Source organism: Homo sapiens, chromosome 5, assembly GCF_000001405.40.
Source record: "Homo sapiens chromosome 5, GRCh38.p14 Primary Assembly".
Classification (NCBI taxonomy): domain Eukaryota; kingdom Metazoa; phylum Chordata; class Mammalia; order Primates; family Hominidae; genus Homo; species Homo sapiens.
Window position 1 is genome coordinate 23,963,881 of NC_000005.10, and position 25,847 is coordinate 23,989,727.

General features: G+C 34.6%; 1 long non-coding RNA gene and 2 pseudogenes across 1 annotated transcript in view; 2 read left to right on the forward strand and 1 right to left on the reverse strand.

Annotated features, from left to right (window-relative positions):
* The window catches only part of LINC02899 (long intergenic non-protein coding RNA 2899), a 226,918-nt gene that overhangs the window by 12,533 nt on the left and 188,538 nt on the right, over nt 1-25,847 (forward strand). Inside the window, exons 2-4 of the long non-coding RNA NR_131245.1 lie at nt 12,117-12,170; nt 13,901-14,042; nt 16,057-16,961. This is a non-coding gene — a long non-coding RNA (long intergenic non-protein coding RNA 2899). The remainder of the gene's footprint in view (nt 1-12,116; nt 12,171-13,900; nt 14,043-16,056; nt 16,962-25,847) is intronic.
* Nucleotides 8,308-8,414, reverse strand: LOC124900210 (uncharacterized; annotated as a pseudogene).
* ADH5P5 (ADH5 pseudogene 5) lies at nt 16,707-17,058 on the forward strand (annotated as a pseudogene).

The following is a 25,847-nucleotide window of genomic DNA, read 5'->3' on the forward strand; positions in this document are numbered from 1 at the left end:
AGTCAAAGGAGAAAGAAAGGCACATCTTACATGGCAGGAGGCAAGAGAGCTTGTGCAGAGGAACTCTCATTTATAAAACGATCAGGTATAATGAGACTTATTTATTACCCTGAGAATAGTATGGGAGAAACTGCCCCTATGATTCAATTATTTCTGCCTGGCCCCACCCTTGACATGTGGGGATTATTACAATTCAATTTGAGATTTGGGTGGGGACACAGCTAAACCATATCAACACTGAATAATGAAAATACCTCATATCAAAATGTAGGAAATTCGGCTAAAACAGCATTCAAAGAAAAATTTGTAGCTTTAAGTATTTGTAGTAAAAAAAAAAAGAAGAAAAGTAAAAAAAATCATCTAACAACAGAAAAATTAGAAAAGCAACTTAGTGAATAAGTAAGCAAGTAAATAAGCAGATATAAATAAATGCTAAAAATAAAGAAAAAAATGAAAAACAAAACGAACTAAGCCAAAAATAGTCTTTTGAAAAGATGAATAACATTTACAACCAAATATACAGACTGATGGGAGAAATCAAAAGGAAATGTAAGGGTTACTAAAATTAGGAATTAAAGGGAGAATATCTCTGTAGAGCATTGAAATATTAAAATATTAACTGAGGATAATATAGTTAGCTTTATATCACTAACTTCAAAAAAAAGCTCAGAATAATTCCTCCTCAATGATACATTAAAACATTTGACAAAATTGAATATATCCATTCATGATAAAAAACTCTCACAACAGTAGGTATTGAAGAAAATACCATCAAACTTTTAAAGGCTATCTCAAAAACCGTATGGCAAATATCAACCTTAATAGAGAAAAAGTGAATAACTTTTTCCCAAGATCATAAGCTAGCAAAAAATGCTCTCTCTCTTCAAGGATATCCAATCATGCAAGTAGGTTTACTTACTGTACCATACTGTAGAGAAGGGTCTAGGTAGTCTATTAAAGTTAAAAAGAAATTATACATATTGGAAAATATAAACGTAAAATTTTCTTTATCTCAGATGACATGGCTGTTTTTGTAGAAATGAAAAGCAACAATCATAACTGTATTCGTCTGTTCTCATGCTGCAAATAAAAACATACCCAAGACTGGGTAATTTAAAAAGGAAAGAGGTTTAATTGACTCACCATTCCACATGAATGGGGAAGCCTCAGAATCATGGTGGAAGCCAAAGGCTCATATTACATGGTGGCAGGCAAGAGAGCATATGCGGGGGAACTTTTTTTTTATAAACCATCTGATCTCATGAGACTTATTCATATTATGAGAACAGCATGGGAAAAGCCTGCCTCCATGTTTCAATTACCTCCTACCAGGTCCCTCCCATGACACATGGGGAACATGGGAGCTACAATTCAATGTCAGATTTGGGTGGGGACACAGAGCCAAACCATTTCTATAACCAAAACAAGAAAATTGCTAGAATGACTAAGCAGTTTAATAAAATCACAAGTTACAAACTGAATATAGAGAATCAATTGCATGTTTCTACAGTAGCAGCAAATTATTGGAAAATAAAGTTTAAAACTGCCATTTACAATAACATTAAAATCAAAATGTTTCAGAACACATTTAATGAAGTATGTATAAACCTCTAAAATGGAAACTGCAAAGTATGTTAAGGGAAGTAAATAATATCTAAATAAATAGAAGTGGCAGCTAGATTCTAGGCTGACCCTCAAGATTCATACCTACTGATATATATGCCCTGTGTAATCCCCATCCCATAAATATGGGCAGGATCTGGGAATATGATGGGTTATTACTCCTGTGGGAAGATCATTATATATGGTCACAGGCAAATGTGAAGGACTTTTGTAGACGTAAGGTCCCAAATCAGGTGACTTTGACTCATTAAAAAGGAAGATTGGCTTTCCTAGTTTTTTCTGACTTAAACAGTGTAAAGTATTTAAAAGAGAGATTAGACACTTTCTAAAGAAAGAGATGCTCTCCTTCTGGTCTTTAAAAAGCAAAGAGCCATGCTGTAAACTACCCGTGGATCTGGGAAGCCTCCCAGTACCAAAGGCCTCAATCCAATCACAACCAGGAACTGAATTTTGCCAACAACTGGAATGATCTGAACAAGTCCCAAGCTCCTCGTGAGAACACCATCTGCCCAACATTTTGATCTCAGCCTAGTTAAGACTCTGAGCAGAAGACCCAGATAAGTCATGCTAGGGTTTCTGAATCATAAAAACTGTGAGATAATAAACATATATTGCCTTAAGGCAGTAAAACTGTGAAAATTTTTATGTATTACAATACAAACTAATAAAATAGAGATGTGTCACATTCACAGAATGAAAGACTTCATATTATTATAATTTCCAATTTCCAAAAATCAATATGTAAATTAAGGCAATCCTAATTAAATTTCAAAAGGTTTATTCTAAAAGGTGACAAATTGGACTAAAATATTTTAGGAAATGCAAAAAGCCTAACATTTCTGAAATCATGTTTGAAAAAGAACATACAAAATTGAGGGATTCACCTTTTCGAAGTTCACAACTTACCATAAATCTAGAGCAGTTATCATAATATCTCATTCTCACATGAGACATAAATAAATCATTGCATAAATTAATAAATACAGAAATACAATCCCAAAGACACCACTGATTAACTTTCAACAGAGGTGCCAAAGTAATTCAATGTACCTTGATACCTTAAAGATAGCAATGTACCTAATTAGGTAGGTGAAGATTGAAGTTTATTTTTCCACACAAGTGTCTACCTTTAAACAATGTGGAACAAAGTAGATATTTGTGCGAAAAGATGAACTTTAATCTTCACCTATGGTGATACACAAAAATAATTGAAAATTGTAGACATAAATTTTAAAACCACAAATATTAAACACCTACATGACAACATAGGAGAAAAATCTATGCAATCTTGGTAAAGGTAAAAGTTTCTTAAATAGCATACAAAAAGTATTACCAAAAAGGGCAATTTTGATAAATTGTACTTTATCAAAATAAAACTTTTTGCTCTTCAGAAGATACCATAAAAAATAAAAAAAAACATGAATGGATGAGTCATAGTCTAGGAGAAAATATATAACACAGTACTTCCATCTACAATATTCAAAAACCTCCCACAAATTAAGGAGATTAAAAAATCCTATGTAATGTAAAGCACTTGCATAAACATGTCCCAAAAATAATATGTAACTGGAAAATATTTACCTGAAGAGAACAATGACATTATTGATCACCAAAACACTGCAAACTAACATCCTTGGAATATATCACTTATATTAACTGGTATGCTAAAGTTAAAAGGGTATCAACTGCAACAGTTCATAAGGATGTAGAACACAGAGCTCTCACACATTCCAGAGAGTGTCAATAGGTAAATTTATTTTTATTTTTCTCTTTGGAAAACTGGCTGACTCTCTCTTTAAAAAGTAAGCCTAAACTTATCATATGACACAGGAGTCAAACATCTAGGTATTTTTCCAAGGAAAATGAATATATATGCTCATAAGATCACTTATAAATGAATGTTTGGAGCCCCTTTAATCATAATACCAAACACCATATACAGACTCATGTCCTACAGTCCATCCAAAGATAAATGAATAAATAATTTTGGTATAATCCCCCAATAATATGTAACTAAGAAGAAATGAAACATAGAAATACTGATACCCATGATAATATGGATGAATTTTACAGACATTATGTTGAGAGGAAGAAGCCAGGTATATAAAGGTATTTGTTGTTTGCTTTCATTTTTATTAAATTCTAGGTAAAATCAATAATTAGGGATCCATCGCCCAAGATGGAGTACACAGGTGCGATCTTGGCTCATTGCAACCTCCACCTTCTGGGTTCAAGTGATTCTCCTGCCTCAGCCTTCTGAGTAGCTGGGAGTATAGGTCCCCACCACCATGCCTGGCTAATTTTTGTATTTATAGTAGAGGCGGGGTTTTGCCATGTGGGCCAGGCTGGTCTCGAACTCCTGACCTCAAATGATCGACCCACCTCGGCCTCCCAAAGTGCTGGGATTACAGGCATGAGCCATTGTGCCCAGCCTAACACACACACACACACACACACACACACAAACTTGACTTAATAATATCTGCAGTGGGTTCATTTTTGCTGGCTTTATTTTCCCTAATTTGTCAATACCTGATTAATTTTTGAACTCATATATAGTTTTAACAACCTGTAAGGCAATCATTTCTCATTTGGACCTTGTGATAAGTAAATCTTCAAATGCCTTAGGAGTTTATAAGTCAAGACAAATACTGCTACATGCTTCTTGAGTTAGCTATCCTGTTATAATCGCATTCTCAGTTGATTTTTTACACCATAGCAGAACTTATAAGGTTCTTCGTCCATGTGAAAGTTTTGCTGCCACAGCTTTAAATTTGTTCAGCTTATACTGAAGTTTTTCAGTTTATTCAATGTTAAAAAAATATTAGTCATTATGTCAGATTTAAAATTATTTATATTTATGCATTTTAACTAAAATTATCATTTTGTTGAACGAATCAAATATGAAATATTGAATTTGCTGCACGTTTACCAAATGAATGTTACTATCATTTGACTCACTGTATTTACAATATGAGATATTTATTTTTTTCTTATAGTAAATGAGTCAGTTTTTCTTGCTTATATTCTTAAAAACACCTGGAATTTTAAAAGTTATTTTAAAAAGCAGGATCAATATTCATATAATTTCATATACCCATACATAAATTCTTGCTCATAATAAATGAAATCTTACAGTTGAAAGTAAATTTAAAAATCATCAAATAACAGCTGGTGAAATTGAAACACTGGCTTAATATATAAATCAAACACTTATCAGAAAACATTTGCAAACTCAAGGTAGGATAGTGTGAAGGAAATATTTTTTAAAATAGGACTCCATGTGAATTTTAGATAGATTTTTTTTCTAATTATGTGAAGAATACCACTGGTAGTTTTATAGGAGTAGAATTAAATCTATAAATGAACTAAATCTATAAATCTATAAAATGATGTCTTTTGGCCTAGGAACAGAGCCCCTCTTAAAGACTTGCTGGAAAAAGCTAGAGTGAAATTCTATTTTGCTCCATCTCTCTTACCTTCTGACATTCTCTCAGTGGCTGAGAGAATCTATCTTTGTCCTATTTGTTTCTGTCATATAGATCAATACTCTACAACAGAAAGCAGAGTGGAAATTTTAAAAAATACATCAGTTGTCTTAGAGAGGATCATTTTTCTTAATGACATATAACGTTGCATACAAAATAGCAAAACAAATTATTTTGAGAACACATAAAAAATTTAATTTGTTCTAATTGACTATATGTTAGATCACAAAATACTTTTAAATTCACAATAAAATCATACATTTACTCATGAATTTACTGATACATCAAATACTTAACAACTCTCCACTCTATACCAAATATGACTTTAGTCCAAGGGGATGAAACAGGGAGTGAACTCCCTCTGACTACAAAGTTGCTTCTCTTTAGCTTATACCCTGTATGGAGAGACAGAGAGTGAAATAGCTAATCTACAGAAGATCACTTAGAGATAGATGTGGGAAAAATTGGAGAGTGTAAAGGGATTTCAAGAGACAGGGTATGATGTGGGGGATCTATGTTTGTTAGATTGACTAAGGGATGCCTCTCTGATTAGATGGCCCACTAACAGTGTATTAATTCCCCAGCCCTGCCATAACAAATTACGACAACTAAGTTGTTTAAATAAACAGAAATTCATCATCTTCCAGTCCTGGAAGCTAGAAATTAAAAACAGAGGTTTCAGCAGGGTGGTACTCCCTTTGAAACTCTGGGTGGAATGATCTTTTGCCTCTTCCTAGCTTGCTGGTTTGGGATGTCAGTCCTTGGTTGGAAGATGATACACCAATTCAGTCTTTTACTTTGTTGTCACATCGTGTTCTCTGTGTGTGTCTCTATCTGCTCTCATAGTATTCCCCTCCTGTGTCCTCACAATATCTTTGTATAAGGAAACCAGTCATATTCGATCAAGAGCCCACCCTGCTCCATTATGACTGCATCTTAACTAATTACACCTACAATGACCGTATTTCCTATAAGGTTATATTCTGAGATACTAGGGGCTAGAAATTTGGGGGGTAGCCACAATTCAAATCATAACAAACAGTAAGCTTAAGTACAGCAGGAACTGAGCCATGAGAGGTTCTGCAAAAAGAGCATGACAGGTTGATATTATTGCTCCTAATGCAAAAACTCACTTGGGGTGTACATGTAGACTTACCACTCATTATAGTTTTCCCAAAATAGTTCTAGTTTATTGCTGTGGTCTCAGTATAAATTTAATAGATATCGTTTAACAAAAAACTGCAGGCACCCTCATTGGACAAGAAATTACATGTTCTTCCTATGTGTAAAAAACACAAGAAGTTCAGTGTCACTGTAACAGAGTGAGTATGGAGGAGATTATTTTACAGAGATGGTGATTCAACCATCTCTGTAAATATGTATATGATTTTGTTTTCCCAGGTAAGGTCTTTGCATATAATTTTGCATCTCTTGAGAGGGGTTTTTAGCAAAAAGGTAAAATGATATATTTATTGAATTATAACACATGGAGAAAATCTGCAAAAATCTTACCTATAGCTTAACAAATGGTAAAAAATAAAAAGTGAATATATTCAGGTAATCATTACTAAGTAATGGTTAGTAATGAGTAAAGTCAAGAGATAGAGCATTACTAGCAATTTTGAGGTTTCTCCATCATCCCTTCCTAAATATTTCTCCCCTTCCTCACATAAACACCAAATAATTTATAAATTTTAAACACATGGAACCAAACTGTGGGTATCACTTTGTGTTTGGATAATTTACAGTCAATATGATTGCTAGATTAATGCATATTGTTATAATTTATGTATTTCACTGTTGATGAGAAATTGTATTGTTTCTAATTTTCAACTTTTATATGGCAATGTAAATAATCTTGTATATACATTTGGTGTAAATCAGAAGTGAAATTTCTGAGTCATAGGGTATGTTTAGCTTTAATGAATGCCAATCAGTTTTTTGAAGTGGCTGCATCAATGTATACACTCCATACAGTGTAAAGTAGTTTTGTGGTTTTATATTTTCACAAAAATTAGTATTGCCATCTGTATTGTTTTATTTCAGATATTCTGATATTTATGAATTGTTATCTTATAATGATCTTAATTTGTATTTGTGTTTTCATAATTATAAGATGTTTGATTAGTGATGTTTGATTTTGTTTAGTGAACATTTGGCCTGGCTGATTTGGGAACTGTTACCTCAATGTTTTGTTTTGTTTTGTTTGTTTGTTTTTTCAGTGTAAAGAGGTTGTTTTTAATTGTGTATATGTAACATTAGACAAAACTATTTAAAGTCAATAAATTTTTATTCAGGGAATTCCATGTTGTGATTTCTTCCACTGTCCATTAAGGTCACTTTAGATCCTCTAAAGAGCTGGAGTCAAAAGATTTATCTTCATGTTAGCCATTTTTAATGAAATGATGCTTATTTTAATCCAGTTGTCCTTTTCAGCCCATAATTCTTTTATTTTGGTTTCTGTCATCTCCTTTTGATATGGATATACTGATGAAGACTTCAAAATTTACCAAGAATCTTTGGGATCTAATTTCTTCAACCAATTTACTTTAGGGTCCTTTTTACTGCTGGTGGTGGATCTGCTTGGTTCTCAATTTGGCAACCTCTCTTAACATGTATGAGTTCAAATCATATTCATTCCTAAATGATCACACTCAAGAATAGTACAGATGTGTGGAAGATGCCAATCCCTTTAACTCCAGACATCATGTTCTCAAGATAAAAGCCTTTAAACAAAAAGCCATCATATGTATGGTCAACATGGAACTGGAATGAAAAATTAATACTGCTGAGGATTTCCCTCATATTCCATGCTGTTTAACTATCTATTCTACTATCCTAGAATCAATATTTTTTTATTAAGAGACAGGGTCTGTCTTTGTTACCCAGGCTGGAGTACAGTGGTACCATCAATGCTTAGTGCAGCCTCCAGCTCCTGTGCTCAATCCTTTTGCCTCAACCTCAGCTTCCTGAGTAGCTGCAACTACAGGCACATGTCCCAATACCCAGCTAATTTTTAAATTTTTGTGGAGATGAGGTGTTTGTTACTATCTTGCCCAGGCTGGTCTTGAACTCCTGGTTTTAAGCAATACTCCCACTTTGGTGTGGGGATTGCAGGCTTGAGCCACTGTGCCTGGCCTGGAAACAACCTTTATGGCTGTCAATACTCCCATCAGTTAACTGTCTCAGGTGTCATAATATCCCTTCTTACATGTATCAAAACTCATACTGAACAATAAGTTCTGGGTTGCAGAAGAGGATTTATGTTTTGCACCTGTCCGTAAGTCTTTGTCCACAAGACCTCAATGTTTTTGACTATCATTGTAGTGAATACTCTATTATTTAGTTAGTTTCTATTAGTAACTGTTACTGTGTACATGTGAATCCTTTATTGGAAATAATTGTTAGAGTAGCTTTTCCAACTCTGTTTCTTGCCCATTAACTTTATGTCCTTTAAAATTTTCCTATTTCAGGCCAGGCGTGGTGGCTCACACCTGTCATCCCAGCACTTTGGGAGGCTGAGGCGGGTGGATCACGAGGTCAGGAGATTGAGACCATCCTGGCTAACATGGTGAAACCCCGTCTCTACTAAAAATACAAAAAAATTAGTTGGGCGTGGTGGCGGGCGCCTGTAGTCCCAGCTACTCGGGAGGCTGAGGCAGGAGAATGGCGTGAACCTGGGAGGCAGACCTTGCAGTGAGCCGAGGTAGTGCCACTACACTCGAGCCTGGGCAACAGAGCAAGACTCTGTCTCAAAAATAAATAAATAATAAAATAAAATAAAATTTTCCTATTTCAAAATTTAAATATATTCTCTTCTGCTATCTTGTAGAGGTCTTATTGTAATTTCCATGTTTACTTCTATCACAGTAAAGGGTGTTATAACAAATTATCATAGACTGGGTGGCTTTTATAATAAACATTTATTTTTCACAGTTCTGGAAGCTGAAAGTCCAAGATCAGTGCCCCAGCATAATTGAGTTCTGGCGAGGGCCCTCTGTCAGGTTGCAGCCAGCTCACTTTCTTTCTTTTTCTTTCTTTCTTTTTTTTTTTTTTTTTTAATCCTCACGTCACAGAAAGATGACAGGCTAGCGCTCTGGCCTCTTTTTTTAAGGGCACTAATTGCATTCATTAAGGGTCCACCCTTATGGCCTAATTACCACCCAAAGGATCCAGCTCCAAAGAGGATCATATTGAGGATTAGATTTTAATATTGAATTTTTGGGGATACACAATATTCAGTCTGTAACTATATATATATTATACTGTTTATACTGTAGGATTGTTTATACTGTAAGAGAAAATTTAAGTTTATTTTATTATAGACATCAAATAGTCTAGTATACTAAAAGTTTGTAGTTTCAACTGTGTCATAAATCATGTATCTTTTTTTTGTGAAAGTGTGTACTCACTGGTTTATTCTACTGCTCTGTCTACTATGATACCAATAAAACATCCTCTTTGTGTATTTTTAAAATAATTTTAAAGCAGATTTATTGGAGAAAAATTCAAACATTTTAGAATGTAGCTGTTTAAAGTGAATAGTCAGTAGTTTTTAGTACAATCATAGAGTTGGGAAACCATCACTACAATAAATTTTAAAACATTTTTATTCACACACACAAATTCCATTAGCAGTCACTAATCATTCACCACTAATTGTGCGTTGAGAATTTTAGCAACAATATTCCTAATAAATATTGGTCCGTAGTTTTCTTTGCTTGTAATGACTTTGTCCAATTTTGTTATCAGGTTAATATTGGCTTCTTTAAGTGAATTGGGAAGTTTTCCCTTTCCTTCTATACTTTGGAAATGTTTGTAAATATATGAAATTAGTTATTTAAATGTTCTGTGGAATTCACCACCGAAGCCACCTGAACCTTGGATTTTTCTTTTGGGTAGTTTGTAAATTGCAAATGCAACGAATTTTACATATAAAATATATATACTTTTTAATTCATTCTTGTTAGTTCATGCATTTTAGGAATATGACCATTTCATCTATGTTATCTAATTTGTTAGCATATAATTGTTTATAGAATTCCCTTATAATAATTTTCAATTTTTTAAGTTTATTAGTAATTTCATTTCTGATGTTAATGATTTGATTTTGACTTTTTTCTGGGTCAGTATAGCTATAGATTAGCCAATTTTGTTGATTTTTTTCAAAGAAGAAAACTTTTGATTCATATATTTGATTGCTTGTCTATTCTCTATTTTATTAATTTTCACACTGTTATTCCCCTGCTTCCATGTGCTTTGGCTACAGTCTGTTTGTCTTCAAATGGTGCCATAAGTTGGAAAGTTAGGTTATTGATTTGAGTTTGCTCTTCTCTTTTAGTGTAGATATTTACAGCTATAAATTAATGCTGTAAACACTACTTTTATTGTAGTCCGTAAATTTGGGCATGTTGTGCCCTTACTTTCATTTATCTCAAAGTACATTTATCTAGTTTGATTTATTTCAAAAAAACTTTCTAGTTTCTCTTTTGACTTTTCCTTGAATTCATTGGTTTTTAGAAGTGCATTCTTCAATTTCCAAATATTTGTGATTTTACCAGTTTTGTTCTGTTAATTTGTAATTCCATTTTGTGATTGAAGAACATACTCTACATGATTTTGACCCTTTTAAATATATTTAGATATGTGTTTTGATAGATATGTTAGATATGTTTTAAACACATTTAGATACGTGTTTTGTCTAGGGTGGAGAATGTACCATGTGCATTTGAGAAGATTATGTATTCTGCTGTTATTGAGTAGTGTGTTCTATAGAAGTTTGTTAGGTGAGGTTGATTTATAGTATTGTTCAAGTCTTTTATTTTCTTGTCAATTGCCTGCCTAATTGTTATACCCATTATTAAAAAGGAAGTATTTAAGGCTTTATATTGTTGTTGAATTGTCCATTTCTTTCTTCAATTCTTCTAGTTTCTGTTTCATGCATTTTGGAACACTGTTGTATTTGTGTATATTTTTATAATTCTTATATGCTTGTGATGGATTGGCTTTTATCATTATAAATTGTCTTTATGTCTAGTTATGTCATTTATGTCTTATAGTGTACAGTGCCTAATATTACCACAGTCACTCCATATTTCTTATGGAGAAATATTTATATTCTTATGACACAAATTTTACCATTCTTTAACTTTCAATGTATTTGTATCTTTGCATCTGAAATCTAAAACGTGTCAGCTGTAGATAGTATATAATTAAATCTTTTTAATCAACTCTAGCAATCTCTTCCTCTTAATTAGATTTGTAAATTCTTTCAAAATTAATATTATTCATGTAGTGTGCAAATTCCTCTGCCATTTCTATTTTTATATGACTCGTATTCTTTTTTCTACATTCCTCCTTTATTGCTTTCTTGCATTAAGTGAATATTTTCTTGAATGAATTTTAACTCCTTTAATATCTTTAATTTTTTATTGTATTTTTTTGTCATTTTCTTAGTGTTCCTGCCAGGGCTTCTAAATACATCTTATTACATGTACTTATATAAAAGTAATTCTGTTGAAACAGAATTATTATCCTTATATGTCTTTATTCCTACTTTTTTGAGGGGGGTATTGTTGTATACATTAATTGTACATATGTTAAAAATTTAAAAATGTAATATTATAACTTTACAGAATTATATCTATTTGAAAGAGGCTGAGAGAAGAAATAAAGCAAACATATATTTACAGCATTTGTTAACCTTCTTATTTACCAATTATTGTTCTCTTAATTTGTTTTTGTAGATTCATTACTATCTATGTCATGTCATTATTCCAGTACAGCTTTGTTCTTACCCACCTACTTTGTGTTGTTATTGTCAATTAATTTCATTTTTATATGCTGTTGTTGTAACAATACAATCATAAATATATGTTGTTTGTACAATGCTCTTTACATTAGTTATGAGAAAAAGGAGAATAGATAAGCATCCCTGCTGTATTTTAGAATGTCATAATTACCTCTACTGGTGCTCTTAATTTTTGTCTGTTTGTTTGTTTTCAGTTGCAGTCCGTAGGCACTTGCTTTAACCGTGAAGAATTACCTTCAGTACTTCAGGTAAGACACATCTGCTAGTTATGAATTCTCTCAGAATTCATTTCTCTGGAGGCATTTTTATTTTATTAATTTTGAGAAATACTTTTGCTGAATATAAGATTTTTGGCTTACGTTTATTTTTCAGCATTTTGAATATATAGGTCCACTATGACTTTCATTGTCCATGATATAAAGGTAGCTATTAATATTATTAGCATTTCCTTGTACATGATAAATTATGTTTCTGTTATAGTTTTCTAATTTTTCTTTTTATGATTATGACAATTTTTATAATATGTGTGGGGGGTGGTATCTTTGCACATTTCTAAATTTTAGTTTGTTGAGCTTCTTGTGTGTAGATTAATTTATTTTTAATTAAATATGAAGTTTTCAGCTAGTGTTTTTTATCTCCTCTCCTGGATCACCTAATATGCATATGTTTGCATGTTTAATACTTTTTTATGTTTCTCCAAGACTCTCCTCATTTTTCTTCATTGATTTTTCCTTATTCTTCAGCATTCATAATCTCCATAGATCTGCCTTCTATTTTGGGAATTCTACCACTTCAAATATACTATTTCCACTCACCTTATTTTCATTGTAGTTGTTATTGTTTGCCACCACATGGGTGAGCTGGAGTGAGAGTAATCAGTATTCCACTGTCCTTGGATACACTTGGAATAGAGCCTCCTTACTATAAGTGGGGGATCGATGGAAAAAGGAAACTGTAATTTTGTAGCAATAGTTGTCAGATTATACATTTCAACTTAGAACTAGGGGGATGAGAAATGATGCTTACTTGCCCTATTCTCATGAGATGCTCTTTTCTTTTATAAGGAGCCAAAGGGAGATGGAGCCTAATTTTTTTTACTTGTTTTAGTGGAGCTTCTCTCATGCAAATATGTTTGAGAAAAGAGGATAGGTGGAAGTGGAAAGAAGTGCATCATGGCTCAAGTGAAGCAGACTTTAACTGTTCTTGTTCAGATCTACAAGATTTGGTAGTTTCTTTTAAAAAATGTTTCTTCACTTGCTATATGCCCTTAGAAGAATTTTCAGATGATATAAATTGTTAGTTTTTTTAAAAAACTTTTTTTTGTTAGTACAATTGTTTTACTGGGGAGTAAGTACATGGAACTCTTTAAGCTGTATTTTTGGAAGTTGTTAGGTACAGTAAGTTCCTCTTCAAAGAGTCAGCTTGTTCAGCTTCCTTGTTCTTTGTTCTCTATTTTCAAAGCCTAACTTCTTCGTTCTTTGTACCTCCTTGCCCCTAGTTACAGTAAACAACCTTCCTGCCAGTCTTAAACTATAACGCACATCTGTTCCCTTGGTTACCCACTCTGCAACTGCCCTTCCTGCCAAAACTTCTTCCTGCCCAAACCACTCGTCCTGCCACTGTAACCCACATCCCTGCTGTATTTGAAATAGCCAGTTGGGATTAGCTTAGATTGTGTGGTCCAGCCCCAGCCAGTGTGAACAGGACATAGAAGCAGTGACTAACCGTTTTATGGATAAAAACCCCTTCCCTCCTTTGTTCGGTATGCTCTCATAGCAGCCAGAAGTGCGAGTGGCACCCTTCTGCAGAAGTAAATTTGCCTTGCTGAGAAATCTGTTGTTTGAGTGCTCGTTTTCCTTGCAACTCTGAGCTCTTATTTTCAGCAATCTGGGGGCTTATCTGGGATTCCCATTCTCCTATGGGGAAAGGGTCTCCGGTAACCTCTCATGAGGAGACTTATTGCACTGCCTCATTGCAGTGGCCTCAGGGTGAGGAATTGGGAGCCACCAGTGTGACAAATAAACCTGGACTCTCAGCAATGAGGAAAGAAACAGACCAACAAGTTGGGGAAAGAAAGCTCACATACTGCGGTGACCAGGTAACTCTGTTCACAGACCAAGGTAAGAAACATCGCAAGAGTGACAAAGTACTTCCTTGGTGGTTGGGATACCTTGAAGGTTGAAAGCATGTGAATAAGATGCACAATTGAGTGAAAAGCTAGTGTTGAGTCTGCATCTGTGGTTCCATGGTCCCTTCATATGGCTTATGGCAGTGCTCCTCTAAAGGAGTCTGGGTCAGGGGTTTATACTGACCAACCAATGCTAAGAGAGACCCAACGCCTGAGAGGGAAATGGCCAGAGAAGAACGAAGCGAATGAAGAAGAGTGCAAGAAACCTCCACCAGGGGGCGTTGAGCCTCTAGGAAAGGAAAGGTGAGAACTCTCCAGTAGGGTATGTTGAGCCTCACACAAACCTCCAGTAGTGGGGAAGGCAATAAATTTCCAGTAGGGGAAATTGAGCTCTGACATGCTTTCTTCTACTTGTTCTGGTCTATTGTTGAAACTTTCCACTGCATTTTGTATTTTTCTAGGTGTATCTTTCATTTCCAGAAGTTGTGGTTGTTCTTTCTTTATGGTAGCTATCTCTCTACAAAATTTTTAATTCAAATCCTAGATTGTTTTTTGAATTTCTTTAATCGGTTTTCAACTTTCTCTTGTATCTTCTTGAGTAGGTTAATAATCAACCTTCTTAATTCTTTATATGGCACTTCAGAGATTTTTATCTTTGTTTGGATCTATTGCTGTGGATCTAGTGTGATTTTGTGGGGGAGTTATAGAGCCCTGTTTTGTCATGTAAATGCCCTAAATGCTCCACTTAAAAGATGCAGAATGGCAGAGTGAATTAAAAAAAAAAAAACAGTCAAATATCTGTTGTCATCAAGAGATTCATCTAACACATTAAGGATTCATAGAAACTTGAAGTAAAGGTGTGGAAAAAGATATTCCATGCAAATGGAAACCAACAGTGAACAGGAGCAGCTATTCTTACATCACACAAAACAGACTTTAAAGCAACAACAGTACAAAAAGACAAAGAAGGACATTATACAATGATAAAATGATTAGTTCAACAGGAAGATATTACAATCCTAAATTTATATGCACCTAACATTGGAGTTCCCAGATTTAGAAAATAATTGCTACAAGATGTGTAAAATTGAATAGACAGCAACACAATAGTGGGGGGGACTTCAATACTCCACTGACAGCACGAGGCAGATTATTAAGAGAGAAATTCAGCAAAGAAACAATGGACTTAAACTATACCTTAAAACAAATAGACCTAACAATTTTTTACAGAACATTCTTCCAAACAACTGCAGAATAAACATTATTTTCATCAGCACATGGAACATTTTCCAAGATAGATCATATAATAAGCCAATGAGTCTCATCTGAATAAATTTAAGAAAATTGAAATTATATCAAGTATCTTCTCAGACTGTGATGTTACAGTTGGTAGTTACTCAGGCATGGGCAGGGAAGGAGAGGGTCCCATCCCCAACAGGAATGTTACATGACCCTCAGGTGATGGTCATGGGGTTGTTAAGCTGTCTCTCTAAAATAACAATTGGTTGCAGCCAAGGCCAGAAAAAAGTAGTCTCCCAATAGACAGAAAACTTGAAACTGATGAGCAGCAGCTTCCCAATAAGATCAGAGTTGGGTGAGTGGGCTCAAGCATGCAAAGTAAGAGCCAAATTGGTGGAGTTTAACTGGTATATGACCTCTTTAAGGAACCCTTGACTGGTAAGGGAAGAACACTTTGAGTGAGAATGCATAGAACTTCAGTAAACACATTCTGCATGCAGCCCCTCCCAAAGTGTTAACAGGCCACTGCACATGTGAACAGCCCAACCTAAGGGAAGAATCAGGAGAGAAAGGATGCTAGACCCCAGAATCATGACAGTGTATAAAACCCCAAGTCAAAGGTCAAACTGTGCACTTGAATCCCTCAAGTCGCCTGCTTGGCCCTCTTCCATATGTACTTTATTTCTTTTTGTTCCTGATCTAAAGCTTTCAAATAAACTTTCATTCCTGCTCTAAAACCTGCTTCTGTCTCTCCCTCTGCCTTATAGCCCTCAGTCAAATACTATCTTCTGAGGAGGGAAGAATCAAGGTTATGTAGACCCATACAGAATTGCCACTGCTAACACACTTTCATACTGCATGACTTGGATACACTCCCTATTGCTAACAAGACCACAGTGGAATTAAAATTGAAAATGAACTCCCAAAGGAAGCCTCAAAACTATGCAAATACATGAAAATTAAATAATCTGCTTTTGAATGATTCTTGGGTTAACAATGAAATCAAGATGGAAATTTTAAAAACTTTTGAAATGAATGAAAATAGTGACAAAACATATTAAACCTCTGGGATACAGCAAAAGTGGTGGTAAGAGGAAAGTTCATAGAGTTAAATGCCTACATCAAAACATCTAAAAGAGTGCAAACAGACAGCCTAAATTCACACCTCAAGGAACTGAAGAAATAAGAACACACTAAAGCCAAAGCAGGCAGAAGAATAGAAATAACAAAAATCAGAACAGAATTAAATTAAATTGAAACAAAAAAGTGTAAAAGATAAATGAAACAAAAAGCTGGTTCTTTGAAAAGATAAGCAAAATTTATAGACTATTAATGAGATTTACCAAGAAAAAGAGAAAAATCAAATAAGCTCTATTAGAAATGAAATTGGGACCCCCACATTGACCAGAATCCGTGGACGTGGTGAACCAGGTTATCAAGTACAAGCCTGCAGTTGCCTGGCAGACTGGAAAGCCTCTCTCCATAGAGGAGATAGAGGTGGCACCCCCAAAGGCTAATGAAGTTCGAATCACAATCATTGCCACTGTGGTTTGCCACACCGACACCTATACCCTGAGTGGAGCTGATCCTAAGGGTTGTTTTCCAGTGATCTTGGGACATGAAGTTGCTTGGAATTGTGGAAAGCGTTGGCGAGGAAGTTACTAAGCTGAAGGTGAGTGACACTGTCATTCCACTTTACATCCCACAGTGTGGAGAATGCAAATTTGGTCTAAATCCTAAAACTAACCTTTGCCAGAAGATAAGAGTCACGAAGTTTATTTTCTAATATCCATGGGTTGGTAAAGATTACTATCCTTTAATTGTATGAAAATCCAAACTGCTAGGTATTTTGTTAATATGTGTATCTCATATGTAGGCATTGTATTTTTGTTTCTAATTTTAAATTGAAATTGAGTAGACACACTTATAAGTGGGAGCTGACTGATGAGAACACATGGATATATGAGGGGAGGGGAAAAACACACACTGGGTAACTGCAGGAGACTGGGGGAGGGAGAACATCAGGAAGAATAGCTAATTGGTGCTGGGCTTAATACTTGGGTGATGGGATGATCTGTGCAGTAAACCACTGTGACATACATTTACCTATGTAGGAAACCCGCACGTCCTGCACTTGTACACCTGAACTTAAAAGTTGAAAATAAAGAAAAATAAATAAATTGAGTAGACAATTGAATTTATACACTTTGTAAAACCTATACATATTCCAGGGTGCAGATTGCTAGTCTTTTGATATCATCATTAAGCTAATTCATTGACAATAAGTGAATATTAAATAAATAAGGCAACTAGTGGCTGGGCGTGATGGCTTATGCCTGTAATCCCAGTACTTTGGGAGGCCGAGGAGGGTGGATCACGGGGTCAAGAGTTCGAGACCAGCCTGACCAACATGGTGAAACCCCATCTCTACTAAAAATACAAAAATTAACTGGGCGTGGTGGCGTGTGCCTGTAATCCCAGCTATGCTGGAGGCTGAGGCAGGAGAATCTCTTGAAACCAGGAGGCAGAGGTTGCAGTGAGCCGAGATCGGGCCACTGCACTCCAGACTGGGCGACACAGCGAGACTCCATCTCAAATAAATAAATAAACAAACAAATAAATAAAGCAACTAAAAGAATATCTACAGGGGATGATATTTAGAGTTTACATTTTAACAAGTCTTATTACAGCAGTAAAAAATGCAAACATAATAAGCCTAGTAAATTAGTAATTTAAAAAGTTAAAAGAAATGAATGGATTCAAAGCATATTATAGACATGACATGTTATTTTCAGACCATTAAACATGACCATGATGAACAATTGCAGGTGCTTGAAATTTCCACAATTTCATAAAACATTAATTAAACACTAAATGTCAGAAGAAAATCACTAATAGTGCTTCTCAAAGAAAGGTGCATGACCGCCTGTATCTGAATCTCTTACCTGCTTGAGACTGCTAAAATCATTAATTCATGTCCGTTATAAGAGGTTTATGAATTGCACTACTAAGTACAGGTTTCTGGGATCCCAACTATATACAAAATATCCCACGTGATCCTATGCACATTACTATTTGAGTTGCACTGCATTAGGGAAGAAAGGCAAAAAGTTTTCATATTCATTGTAATGTTTAATTTTGTGTGTCAACTCAGCTGGACCACAGTGCCCAGATATGTGGTCAAATACTTTCTAGATGTTTATTTGAGGATGTTTTGGGCTGAAATTTAAATTTAAATTAGTGTATTTTGAGTAAATAAGATCACTTTTTAGACTGTAAGTCAGCATTATCCCACGATACAAGATCTGAACATAACTCTGCCAACAGATGATCTTGGGGCTTGAACTGCAACATGAAGTTTTCTGGGTCTCCAGCCTGCCAGCCCACTCTGCAGATTTAGAACTTTCCAGCCTCCATAATCACCTGATTCTTTAAAATAAATCTACTCACACACATACATACACGCGCGCACACACACACACACACACACACACACACACACACAGCCCATTGGTTCAGTTTCTCTGAAAAAGCCTGATTTAATACCTCTGCAATGCACTAATTAACCATCATACATTATATTTACCTCACATTAACTTACATTCTTTACAAAACAACCCAAAAGGCCCAGAACCCACTACTGTCCTCAGCGCTGAGCGGAAAAGGAATGCAGAGCTGCCTCAACAATAATTCACAGACCTCAGGGAAACCTTCTAGATCCTAATCCCTAATATTGATTCCTCTTAGCCTTGTTCTATTCTCCCTATAAAAGAAAAGCCTTTTCCCGCTTGTTCCTTAAGAAGTTTGCAAATCTTTTGTTTATAGAATTTTTATTGCAAAATATTTTCAGTAATTTTTATATTAATTCCAAGTAAGTTTTTAGTTGACAATTTCCTGGTGCTGCAATTAGGATCAACATTGAGTCTCAACTATGAAACCTTGTCATTCTTGACCAGGTAATGGAAACTTGCAAATCCTTTGAACTCCTTTTATCTTAATTGATACAGTGAATTTTTGGTGAGTTCAACACTCAATCCAGCCTACAGATGTCTTGTCTCTTGAAACACAGTAAGAATTTACTTTAACTCCTGTAGGCAAAGAGACTTCTCTTTGGCCTTTCTGTGCAGCCTCTTCTGGTTTTCTTCAAATTTCCAGGCTGGAATTTCATGGGACTGTTTCTCTGGCTTATTGGACATAGGATTGTGCAAGGAAATGAACTGAGAGGGAATCTTTCCTAGTTCTTCGAAGTCTTATCTCTGTTTAATAATCAAATCCTGTGCATAGCTCACTGTACGGGTACCCTTTATTCTCTTCTCCCACTGACTATATACTCTGTAATTATTGCACTACCTCTGTTAAATATCTCCAATGACACATATTTCTAAGAATAATGTAGAACTGAAGTGGCCTTTTTGAGGTTCTTGTGCTCTCCTCTATAATCAATGGTCTGCTTATTAATCAGTAGTCTGCTTATTTGTTATGGAATGTGTAAACCAAAAGGTTTCTCAGTGTAAGTTTAATTAGGACATTCAGCAAACTTGATCTACTTAATCTGAGCCTATTTAATCTCTCAATAATATTCTGTCTCCCTCAAATATGTATTTTGTTATTTTCTAATTTCACAAATAATATTATATGTATTTATCATATAATGTTATGCTCTGATATATATATATGTTCTAAGATATATATATATATATATGTTTGTGTGTATGTATATAGAGAGAGTAAAATGGTTAAATCTAGCTAATGAACAAATGCATTACCTAACACAGTTATTTTTGTGGTGAGAGCATTCAACATCTACTTTTTTCCTTTTTTAAAAGTACGGTATAGTCTGCTGTACAATAAGCCTCTTGAATTTGTTTCTCCTGCTTATCTCTACTTGCGTATTACTTAAGTAGACTTATGTGTACTTACTACTCATATTTATTTCTCACTTACTCCACCCTCAAAGGCATTCCCAGCCTTTCTCTTTTCTCTCTCTTTTCCTCTCAGGTCCTTCAAATCCATTCCAAGTTCTTCACATTACCTTAACTTCCCTACAATGTCCTACATACTGGGTCAATCTTAGGTATTGTAAGGGAAAGAAACATTGGGGCTAATGCCTATGCAAAAAGAAAGAGAATTTATCAAACTCAAAAGTCTCAGTGATATCTCTGAAGGATATGGTCCTATGTGCCCCTCAAAAACCCTTAAACTAACTGGATGAAATCATAATCTCAGTCAATGAGCACCCCTGCACCTTTTTGACAGACACTAAAGCCATTTGTGCTACTTTAAGACCTTATATGATCTCACCATAATCCCTGAGAATATATCAACGATCTCACCGGTGGGATGGGAAAACTTACCATATAACTTTCCCCTTTCTCAACCACTTTCTGTATCTCCTTCACCCCATAATGCCCAACGTGGTTATCGTCTACTAGTCGATTAGACAGATATTAACTTTCTTATTGGCATGTAAATATTTGGTGTTCACCCCAAAGGACTAACCCTTGAAGTCCTGGACTCCTCCCCAATCACTGTTGTTCTCTAACAACTTTGATAGATCAACCCAAATTGCTTACCCCTCTCCCAGCTCCCAAAACTCTTAACCATCCTCACGTTCAGACATACTAACTGACTTTCCTGAGCCTCTCTGAGCTGTGGATGTATTGCAAAGCATAATTGTTGAAAAGGATATAGTCCCCCAACATAGCCCTCCCTAAGCCACCCCAGTATCTTTCAAGAACTGAAGGAATTGAAAGTCTCAGACCTATCTTTCAAGGGCTTATGTCAAAGGACACTTTTTTTGTAATTGTCTGGCAATACCCCAATTCTTCCAGTAAAAAAGCCTCATTATCTTTTATTAAGTCTGGATTTGTTTTTATTTGTCAAAGAAAAGTAAGTCACATGAGCCCTATGTTTGCCCAGGTTTCCAATCAGAGACACTTCCCAGACACTATCCCAGAGAAGAAAATCTCACTGAATTGAGGTGGTAGAGATCAGATATTTGGAATTCTATGGCAGGTGGAATTTGAGGGGCAGAGTAACAGAACTGAGAGATTTAAACAGATAAAGATCCCAGAAATCTGCATACAAATGCTGTAGAATATTTGGCTAAATATTAAGCTGAGTATGCTTAAAGTTCCATAATGCCAATGGAAGAATGACTCATAGGGAGCTTTAGGAAGAATAAAATTGGACTTTTTATAGAATTCCGAGATTTTGAATAACCAGAGAGGACAAAATTTAATGAACACCTGTAGTATTAAGTATTGAGCCCCCAAAGACTACATACTTCAGGAGTAGTGCTAAATAAAACCCACAAAAAACTGCTAGATTACCTATATAACCATAAAAACAATAATAAGAAAATTCAATAATATACAAAGTAAATTAAATGTCAATTGGTGAAAGGGTACAAAGTTTCAGTTAGATAGGTGGAACAAGTTCTGTTGATCTATTGCACAGCACAGTGACTATAGTTAATAATAATATATTGTATATTTCAAAATAGCTAAAAGAGGTGATTTAAGTATTCTCATGACAAGAAAATGATTAGTATTTGAGGAGATAGATATATTAATTAGCCTAATTTCATCATTCCACAATGTAGGCATGAATCAAAACATCACACTGTACCCTGTAAATATATATAATTATTTTATCTGTAAATTAAAAATAAAATAAAATAAAATAAAACTTTAAACAAATTTTGTTTGCAAGGAAAAAATCAACACCATTTAAAGCAGGAAAATAAAATCCAAACCTGAGTTTGTCCTCATAAAATAAACTGGTAAGTATTCCCTCATCTTATATATGTTTAATATTTCTGAGGAGTTGCAGTTAATTCTTTAAAGGTGGAGTGGTATTCACTAGTGAATCCATTTTGATCTGAACTTTGTAGAAAATTTTCATTAATTCTTTAATCTCTTTATGATACTTATATGCAGATTTTCTATTTCTTCTTGAGTCAGTTTCCGTAGTTTGTGTTTTTCTAGGAATTTGTCCATTATCTGATGTATTAGCATATAATCATTCATAGTATTCCCTTATAATCCTTTTTGATGTCTGTAATTAGCAGTTATGCCCCTTCCTTCATTCTTGATTTTAATAATTTGAGCCTTCTTTCTTTTTTATAATCTGCTTAACTAAAAGTTTGTCAATTTTGTTACTCTTTCCAAAGAACCAACTTTTAGTTTCATTAATTTTTCTTTATTTTTTTATTCTCAATTTTATTTATTTATGATCTTACGTTTATCGCTTCCTTTGGTTTACATCCTCTTTTTTTTTTAATTCTGTAGGCAGTAAATAATTAGGTCATGTTTGTTGATCTGGTCTAACAATCTCTGCCTTTTGGCTAGATTTTTAATTCTTTCATATTCAATGTTATTATAGACATACAGGATTATATTTGCCATTTTACTTCTTGTTTTCTTAGTGTTTTGTGTTCTGTTTGTTTCTTTTTTTATTATTATTACCTTATTTGGGGTTAAATATATAATTTTTGTACATAAAATTTCAATTTGTCCCTGCTTTTATTATATTTTTAAGTTTTTTTTTTCTTTTGTGGTTGCCCTGGGGAATGCAATTAACATCTCAGTCTATAATAAACGAGTCCATATGAAGAGCAACTTAATTTTAATAGGATACAAATCCTTTGCTCCTATATATCTCAATTCCTTTTGCCCTCCTTTATGGTATTATTGGTATATTAATTTCATGTTTATACATTATGTGCCTATCAATGTTAATTCATAGTTTTGGCTTTGTTGGTTTAATTTTTAATCAGATAGGAAAAACAAATTAAAAAAATACATTTATCTCCCTTTTATATTTACTGGTGTGGTTATCTTTACCAGCATACTTCATTCTTTCATACAATTCAACTGTCAAGTATCCTTTTGTTTTATTGGTATTTCTTAATAAGGCCAGTGCTAATGACAAATTCTCTCAGTTTTGTTATCTGAGAATTTGTTAGTTTTTCCTTTATTATTTTAAAGGTAGTGTTGCTAAATATGGAATTTGAAGTTAATATTATTCTATCAGGATTTTGAATATGTGAACCTACTGTGTCGTGGTGTTTGTGGTTTCTGATGAAAAAATAGCTGATATTTTACTGAGGCTCTTTCCTAGTAATGATTTACTTCTCACTTGCTCATTTTAAGTTTCCGTTTTTGCTTTGTGGCTCGGAATTGTTTCAATATGATGTGTCTCATTTTTATTCTCTTTGACTTTATTTTACTTGGAATTTGTTGAACTTTTTAGATGGGTAGATTTATATATTTTATTCGAATTTGAGATGTTTTAAATTATTATTTCTTCATATTTTTTCCTGCCTCTCTCTGTTTCTTCTCTCCTCCTGGGACACTCATTATGTGTATGTTGGTACTCTTGATAGTGCTCCACGAGTATCTGAGGCTCTGTTTGTTTTTCTTCATTATTTTTGCTTTTTGTTCCTCAGACTGGATAATCTCAATTGCACTGTCTTCAAGTTCACTGATTGTTTCTCCAACCAATCACATTTGCTGCTACTGATCAATCCCTGCGTCAATTTTTTATTTATTATTATTATTTGGAACTTTAACTCCAACATTTTTCTTTGGATTTTCAAAAAACAATGTCTCTATACTTCGATATATTCTATCTAGTGAGTATTATGAGGTGATTTTTTTCCCACCAAAATTCTAATTTGAAATCCTAACCCCCCAGTATGTGACTATATTTGGAAATAAGGCCTTTAATGGAGGTAAATAAGTTAAAATGAAGCCATCAGGGTCAAGGCATGACAACCACTCCTTGACCTGAGAACCTCTTGGTAAGCTAGATAGAATAAAGTCCTTCTCAGTCATTTCTGGCTACCCACATGATTTTTTAGGTCCCTAATCAAATCTGTCTGATGATTTTATAAGAAAGAGTGGATTTGCGCACACAAAGGAGGTACACAGGTCGAGGAAAGATTGTGTGACAATATAGTGAGAAGGTGGAGAAGGAACCAAGGAGAGAGGCCTTAGACAAATTTAAATTTGCCCACACATTGGTCTTAGGCTTCTAGCCTCCAGAATCATGAGAAAAGACATTTCTCTTTTTTAAGACACTCACTCTGTGGTATTGTGTTACGGTAGCCCTAGCAAACAAATACACTGAGACACTCTTTTCAAATTTTCTTTTAGTTCTTTAGATGTGATGTATTTCTTCTTTTTCTTTTATTCTTTCTTTCTTTCTTTCTTTCTTTCTTTCTTTCTTTCTTTCTTTCTTTCTTTCTTTCTTTCTTTCTTTCTTTCCTTTTCCTTTTCTGAGATAGGGTCTTACACTGTCAGGCTGGAGTGCAGTGACACAATCATGGTTCACTGCAGCCTTGATCTCCCCAGGTTCAGGTGATCCTCCCACCTCAGCCTCCTGAGTAGCTGGGACTACAGACACATACCACCACACCCTGCTACGTTTTGCATATTTTTGGAGAGATGTGGTTTCACCATGTTGCCCAAGCTGATCTTGAACTCCTGGGCTCAAGCAACCTGCCAGTCTCAGTCTTGTGGAAGTACCGGAATTACAGGTATGAGCCACCACACCTTCATTGAACACACTTAAAATATCTGATGTATTATTTTTCAGGTTTTTCTCTGGAACATTTCTATTGATTGCATTGTTACCTATGTATGCATCATACTTTGTTTTTTTCTGTATGTCACATGTACTTTTGTTGAAAGCCTGACCTTTAGGATAGTACAATGTGGCAACTCTCAGTATCAGATTCTCTCCTCTGTCTAGGATTTGTTGCTGTTTGTATGTGTTGGTTTTTTTGTAATATTTTTTCTTTTTTTAACATCTAAGTTAAGGGGTACATATGCAGGTTTGTTTCAATGGAAAACTTGTGTCATGGGGGTTTGTTGTACAGATTATTTCATCACCCAAGTATTAAACCTAGCATCAAATTAGGTATTTTTCCTAATCCCTCCCTCCTCCCACCCTCCACCCTTTAATAGGCCAGATGTGTGTTGTTCTCTTTGTATCCATGTGTTCTCATCATTTAGCTCCCATGTATAGATGAGAACATGTGGTATTTCTTTTTCTGTTCTTGCATTAGTTTGCTAAGAATAATGATCTCCAGCTCCATCCATGTTCAGGCAAAGGGCATAATCTCATTCTTTTTATGGCTGCATAGTATTACATGGTGTACATATACCACATTTTCTTTATCCAGTCTATCACCAATGAACATTTAGGTTGATATCATGTTTTTGCTTTTGTGAATAGTGCTGCAATGAATATATGCATGTGCATGTCTTTATAATAGAACTATTTATATTCCTTTGGGTATATACCCAGTAATGGGATTGCTGGGTCAAATGGTATTTCTTAGTGACTCTCCTTAACTAATTATGTGAAGTCTCCATATTTTGTATGTGGCCACTGACATTGCTGGAACCTGTAAATGTCATCTTATAAGGAAAGAGGTGTATACAGATGTGATTAACTTAAGGAGTTTACCATGGGATGATTATTCTGGATTATGTGGGTGGGCCATAGATCCAATCAGAGGTGTTCTTATAAGAAAAAGGCAGAGGAA